This window comes from Homo sapiens, chromosome 2 (genome assembly GCF_000001405.40).
Source record: "Homo sapiens chromosome 2, GRCh38.p14 Primary Assembly".
In the NCBI taxonomy this organism is placed as follows: domain Eukaryota; kingdom Metazoa; phylum Chordata; class Mammalia; order Primates; family Hominidae; genus Homo; species Homo sapiens.
The window spans coordinates 164,054,455-164,062,024 of record NC_000002.12 but is presented as its reverse complement, the minus strand read 5'-3'; the positions used below and the strand labels follow the sequence as shown (position 1 = coordinate 164,062,024).

Sequence of the window (7,570 nt, the reverse complement as noted above, 5' to 3'; positions counted from 1 at the left end):
GAAGAGAGAGAACACTGAACATTGAGAAAAGGGCATTGAAGAACAACTTTGTGCATGTGTGTGTGTGCTAGGGACGTGTACATGAAAAATACCTATTTTAGAATTTTGCCTGAGGCCAAGCCTGTGAACAACTAAATTTTGTCCTTCCTTACACACATATTATTTTTTCTTCACTCTACTTAAAAACTAAAGAAAATATTTTCTTAACACTTCAAGACATATTACATGCATTCATTCTCTTAGCCTTCTACCCAAAAAAGTACTTTTTTTCTTTATTGACTTTTTATTTCTCTTTTTTATTAGTTTATACTTTGTGGAAACTGAAGGAAGTATTTATAGAAGTTTTAAATGTTGACACTACAGAATCTCTTTGCTTGGTGGAATTTTGTTGGCACAAATTATGCTTCAAGCGACCACCAAGCATTTTTATATTTGACTAGGAACTAATTCAAAGTATGCTTCATAAACAAGGTAGTCATCTATTTGTTTGCTTACAGTCACACTTGGAGCTTGGCTTGAACTAGCCATTTTTATGTAAGAGAGTAGACATCTTAATAATTCTGATAAGCAAGACCTCTTTCTATATGCCTTTGAGACTTAAGCCTAAAGGATTTAAGACCAGCTTCCCCCTAAGAAAAACACCACCACCTCAGTAGCTGATGTTGGCTGAATGCTTACCAAATTCCAGCCACTGGGAGGCAGTATTGTGTAGTAGTTAAAATTGAGTTTTGCCATCAGCTAGACGAGGGTTCAAGTCTGACTCTAACATGACTGCTAGTTAACCTCTCTAAGCTTCATTTTCCTTATCTTGCAAAGTGGTATAAGACCTGTTACTCTTTCATACTGTCCTGAAGATTAAATGAGATAATATATCAAGTGCTTAGCATATGCCTGGTGCTCATAAAACCCAATAAATCTAATTTCTTGGTGAAAGTATGTGATATATGGATCTAGTCCAACCTACTGATCCTTTTTTCTCCTCCTCATACACTCAGCTAACTTTCAAACTCCTCTTAGAAACGAGTGCCATGGACCTAGAAGCAGAAAAAGTTAATTTTCACAAGCAGAATCTTTGGAATTAAGCCGAGGTACAAATCAGCAATGCTTTTCCCGAGCCTCTAGTTTCTCCTTTCATCTAATTACATACAGTCTCAGCAGCAGGGAAAAAGATGTCTTTTCACCTAATACCAGAGACAGAGACTGAAACCGGATGAGTAAAAATTTTAAGGAAAGCAAATCAAAGCCTAGTCACTTGGGGTTCCTGTATCTGCCAACCACACACCAGTGCAAAATCAGAAACCTCTAGATCCCTTAGTCTTTTCTCCTGTGTCCCCAAACCAACAACCATTACCTAGGGACCCACTGACATTCTTATCCTAGGACTTTTCAATAGCTCCAGGATTTCTTTTTCATAATTTCCTCTGTTACCTCATACTGCAATGTTGTCTTCAATAACAATTGCATTTGCCACAGAATACTATGTGCCTTGTTCCTACTGGTAAGCAGATGATGCTGTTAGGTAGAATGAAGTTCCAGAGTCCAATGTATTACTTTTAAAACATTTTATACTGCCAGAGTAGTCCCTGGTCTTTATATCCATATCCTTAAATTTATCTTCTACTAAACTTAATTATTCAAAGTAACAGATATATTTCACTAAAGAGTCTTTGGTAAATATTAAGTCTACAGAGCTACAAAGAAAATTCTATTCTTGATACTGTATTAACATGCAGAGACCTCATAGTAGTTTATAGTTCTTAAGACAGAGAATAGTTTCAATGAAAGCCTTGTTCGAGTCATGCAGAACTTCTGCTGTGGAATCAACAATTGACCCTGTATCCAGCTTATTCACTGATCTCAATTTCACCACTTACATCTAAGCTTTAAGTATTTTGAGGATTCTGGTCACAAATTGTTTTCCAATTCTTACCAATCATTGACTTCAAAAGTGAAGTAACCTACCGATTCTTGGGGATCTAGACCAGTTTCACTCTATATTTTTACTTCCTAAGAAGAGGGATTAGTGGCCGTTCAAAATGTATGTTTATGTGTAAAGTTCTTTCTCATCCTTTACAGTTTTGACACCTTTTCAGTTTAACATATTATAAGCCTATATATTCATTAAAATATCATTGATCATTAGTTTTTTCCCAATGTCAATCCTATGATAGATTCTCTTGAAATGTAAGTAAATGTATTGCATTTTCTACAATCATTTTACTTGCAGATGAAGGGTTTCTATATTTGTCCTTAAGTTTTCTGAGCAGACATTCAGAAGCAGAACTCTAGCCTGTTAAAAGGCACAGCTGTACCCTGCAGGTAGAATGAAAAGGTCCTCGATGAGGTCTTGGATGTGTGTCCTTACATGCTTCATACTGCAACCTAATGTGCAGTTGCAGACCACCCCACCTGAGATAATAAATGAGAAATATTCAGGGCTGTTGAGCACTGTGCAAATTTTCACAGAGGATCAGCACAAACTTAGCACAGGTGTTCACATAATTGTGATTCATTGGAAAAATTCTCAGTGCTCAATAACCCTCACACTCTTTTCCCTCCTAGGTGGTGGTTGAGTGTGAGTATATTGTGGGGAAATGTGCCATGATGTTGGGCTCCACTGGTGCTTGGCTTAAGGGTGTTGGGCTGATAAAAAAGAATGGCTAAATGTGCTCAATTCTCTTGGTCCATTTGCTTAAGTTTCAGAAACGGAAGGATGATATGTATTCAACTGTTCAATAGATAGAAACCAACTCCAACATTAACAAAAAAATCTCTTTGGAGATTGGATAAGATTAAGACTTTTTCTGTGTTTAATTTTAAAATCATTAAATCTCAAAAACAGTGTAAAGATCCCACTCCTCATTTTTCTTGCATTGTAGCTGCCATCTTCTGGGGAAGTATGCCACCTAATTACCAGTTCTGTTCATGTCTTAAGATTGGTCATCATTTGGAATAGGAACCAAAGGTAATCATTCTGAACTAGTAAGACAGCTCACTCTAAAATCAGCCATTGGTATCAGCCTTAGCTTTTCTATTTGCAAAGTAAAACACAATTCTATAATCTAAATCTCTTCATAATTATACAAATTTGCATAACTTCTAATGTAACAAATTAAATGATGGATTTTAAAAAACTGATTCTGCAGTTAATGAATATTGATTAGGCTCCTATATTGTGGTGAAGCACCTTGAATTTGAGGGTAAAGCAAAAGGAAAACCAGCTGCCTATAATCTGCACATGACTGGTCTTTATGATTTTTTTGAAAGCACTGAATTAAAAGGATTTCAAATGTTTGTGCCTCTCTCTATTTGAAATTTCTTCAAACTGCATTTACAATAATCAATTCAGGTATTTATTCTGCTGATTTCCATGTCTCTGTGTTAATAAAAAGTGTCTGTCTTCATAATGTATTAAAAATTTTCCCTTAAGGGAGTGATCAAACAGATCATATTTTGATATTTTCTTTAAACTTCTGCTAATTTCTTTCAATCACTTGACATATGTCTATGATTAGTTGAACAGATTTATAGAAATTTTTCTGATTCCTCCCCAAGAAAAGAGCAAAAAAAATTACATGTCTATGAATTTCTAATATTTCTGTGCAATTCTTTCAAGTGCTTAACTAAGGATGCAGACCTAAAAATAGTTGGAAAATGTCTCTATAGTTTTGATGTTCCTTCAAACCAAGAACCTACCTGGTACCATTGCAGTGGAGGGTCTGGGTCTCTTGTTTCCACAACACCTCGGGCTTTCTGAAAAATGGATATTTTCCCTCATTTTCAAATAGAGAAACAAAGCATTAGTACTGCCTGAAATCTGAAATTCTTCATCAGCCACCTACTGCCAGCTCATGATCCTAAGTGAGACACTCCAGGCAAAAAGATGTGCTATTAGTAGCAGACACATTAGCCCTACATCCATATATTGTCCCTTACCCTCATGACCTACTGTGTACCAGGATGTCACTAAGATCTCATCTGCCAATAATGGAAACAAGCTTTTATGAGCTTAGTGTCTCCCTTTCCATGGACCCTTGTCTGGTCCTACTAAGTCCTACTAGGTCTGTCTAGGTGAGGAAAGCCCTTCCAAGTGAGAGAAAACACCAAATCTCAGATATAACAACAGTTTCATGAAATACCAAAAGAAAGAAGAAGCAATCCAAAGAGGAAAATATCCCAGAAAACGTCACTTACCAAGAGAATCAAATGTTTAAATTGTATTTCTAGAAAATTCTGCTGTTTGTTCTTGATCCTTATCCATATTTGGTTTTAGAGAATGAAGGTGGCAGAACAAGGGCAGGGGGATGACCCTTAGCAGAAGTGTATCTGTAAATGTGCTGCTCTAGCTCCTTGAGGTGTGAATGTCTACTATATGAAAAGCCATTTTCCAATCTACTGATAAGACAGACAGAAGATATTGGTCCAAAGTTAGTAAACAATGTTTAAGGTCTTAGATGAAAATATTAATTCTTATTAATAGACGTACAGTGAAAATCCTCAGTATAGAAATTATGGATACATTTGGTTGCAAAGAGTTGTATAAGCATTTCATTGTCCATAAATGTCTATTAAATTATGTTCTCCAAAATCTACATTTGTCATAATGAAATTATATGCGCTGTGCTGTGCCTAAATAACAAACGTCTGAGGCCAAATCAAACAATTAGCACATTCATAAAGTCAAGACATTTTGTTGTCAAAAATAACCATTTTTTTATTGTAAGAAATCCACTTTTACTAAATATCTAAGCTCATAAAATATTGGTGAGCCACAGACCACCACTAAGAACTGTGACACTAATTCTATTTTTTAAAAAACAAAACTCTTTAATCATTTGATTATTTATTTATTTATTTATTTATTGAGATGGAGTCTTGTGTTGTTGCCCAGGGTAGAGTGCAGTGGCGTGATCTCCACTCACTGCAACCTCTGCCTCCCAGGTTCAAGTGATTCTCCTGCCTCAGCCTCCCTAGTAGCTGGGATTACAAGCATCTGCCACCACAGCTGGCTAATTTATTGTATTTTTAATAGAGACAGGGTTTCACTATGTTGGCCAGGCTGGTCTTGAACTCCTGACCTCGTGATCTGTCCACCTCGACCTCCCAAAGTGCTGGGATTATAGGTGTGAGGCACTGCGCCTGGCCAATCATTTGATTTTATTATTGGCATCCTAAAAACATAAATTTTTATATTTGTGTTCAGTAATATAAGCAGACTTCTATTAATTCATTCAGTTTTGATTCCAAACTGCAGGCATTAGTTGGTATGTTATCTTTAGTAGTGACAGATCTACTATTCCATCCTTAAAGCTATGTTCAAGATGTTTTTCTGGCCTGAAAACAAACTACATATAGATTTTTTTTAATTCAGTGATATTTCTTCTCTCTCCCTTTCTTTCTCTCTCTTTCATTCAACACTATCACGAATACTAACTTAATGTGGTGATTCTGGTATTCTAATGCTATTTTTAAATTCAGTATTTGACACCTCATGTTCTTAAAATTTGTCTTCAAAACATTTTAGCCTTATTCGGACATTTTTCTCTGCTTCTGACTTTACGTAACTATATGTTTTCATTTACAATACTTATAGTAGAATGCAGTGAGTTTTGCATTAGCCACTAAAATAATACTTAAGTCACCTTTATAAGAAGTAAAAGAAAAAAATAGATGGATTCTTTCTTTTCTGGAAAAAAAAAAAAAAAGCACTGTAGTGCTTGCTTGGACATTGTCAAGACCAGTGAACCAGTGAAGAATGTTAGAAATATCATGTTTTTTAAATCTGTGGGGAGGATGCCTGAAGAGTTTGTACCATTATTTCTTGTCCTACTCTCCTTATGAGTGTATTAATAACAAAATAACCACTCTTGGGTCTGTGATGCTTTGAGTAAATCCTTCCTGAAGGAAGTGGAACAGATCAGATTGTCTCTTGACAGATCTTGACAGTTTGGAGTTTCTCCTCCAAACCTCTGACTCCCTAATTCACGGTCAGACTATCAGAGAATCAACTTTATTCTCATTTGAGGAGGGAATTCTTGTTAGTTGACCTATTTTTTATTCAGATGTTGTTTAAGCTGCATTAACTTTCTTGGAGTAGGGAGAGCTGAATTTCTGTGCGTATGTTGTGGGGGATGGGGAGTAATTCTCGTCCATCAGATTCAAATGTTTTCCAGATCTACTGGTGGTAATTGACACAATTCATTTTAATGAGTTAGAAGTATTTGAAGAGCTTTCAGTAAAAACATGTGGAGCCACTCTGTAAATTCCTAGGCTTTTAGAACCCTCTCAGTCTCCAGGGTTTCTGCATTTGCTGCATCCAGTAAGCTGATAAACAAAAATGATTTATTGTAAAATAGTTATAAGTAAAGAAGTGTCCTCTGAGGATACAATAATTGTTTTCATTTTCTTTTCCCCAGTGCCAGTGGTATAATAAAATGCTAATAGATGCAAATTATGCATGATCTTTAATGCATACTAAAGAGAGACCATTTAAAAACCAGGTACCTTTTGTTGGTGAGTAAGCAGCGGAATATTGTTTCCTTTTTAAAATCTTGTACCAACTGAGAAGATTCCTTTTTGGATAGTCTGCACAGACAGGCTTACCTCCAAACTACTACAATTCGACATTCCTGAGGAGGTATGGAAGCATGATCAGGGAGGATGGAAGGCAAACAAAAAACATTTTTATAGTTCAATTGATTCCATAAGGAAATCTTATAAAGAAAAACAAACATCTCCCCAACAGGAAAGCCACTGTGACTTAAAGAAGAGAAAATTGAAATACATGAAAAATCAATGAGGTAATAATTAAATTGTGGGCACATAATACAGCAGCCAGGGCACTTCACACATTTGGTCATGGAGGAAGGAAACTGAAGTCATCAGTAGTTAAAAGGGAGCAAGGAACAGGCGTCATCTTGAAGCTAATTTTGTGATGAGACACTAAAAAACACATACCTGCTACAGTATAGCAGGATATTTATAGGAGGTTAAAGATACAAAGTCCAGGAGCCTATACATTCCTGATTACCCAGCATTCTTAAATCAGTCCTCCTCAGTCTCACACCTGGAGTCTCAGCTGCAGCATAGCTGTCATTTACGCTATCCATGGCCCAGGATTGATGACAGTCATTCGCTGATGAAGCTGTATACATCATTTCTGTCCGAGCTGCACTGGCCAGATGGACCCTGACCATCCATCGCCTGTCAGGGACGCATCTGTTCACACTGCTGCTAGGGGTACTAACAAGTCATTGGCTTTCCAAAAGGACAGTGTCAGCTGGATAGGGCACAACATAAAAACTGGAGTTGTTGGGTTCTTCTTTTTTTTTTTTTTTTCTTATCAAGGAACAGGGTTTTGTTTTTTTTTCCTTCTTAAGAGGGGATATATTTCATTAACTTTTTAAAAAAAGTAATGGTACAGACATCTAAAAGATCAAAGACACCTTATCAACTTCATATTGATAAAGCAAATTGGTTGTCTTTAAATTTGTTGTTATTGATGGTGTTTCACTAATATGATCCATTTAAGAGTATAACATTAAAACGTTTGTGCAGAGCTGGGAGTTTC

General features: G+C 36.2%; 1 annotated feature.

Annotated features, from left to right (window-relative positions):
- Positions 572–866: a silencer, noted in NCBI's record as "tiled region #13497; K562 Repressive DNase matched - State 13:Ctcf". NCBI's record gives its function as "represses a minimal TATA promoter and a strong SV40 promoter by Sharpr-MPRA in K562 cells {active_cell/tissue: K562}" and the evidence as "EXISTENCE:reporter gene assay evidence [ECO:0000049][PMID:27701403]".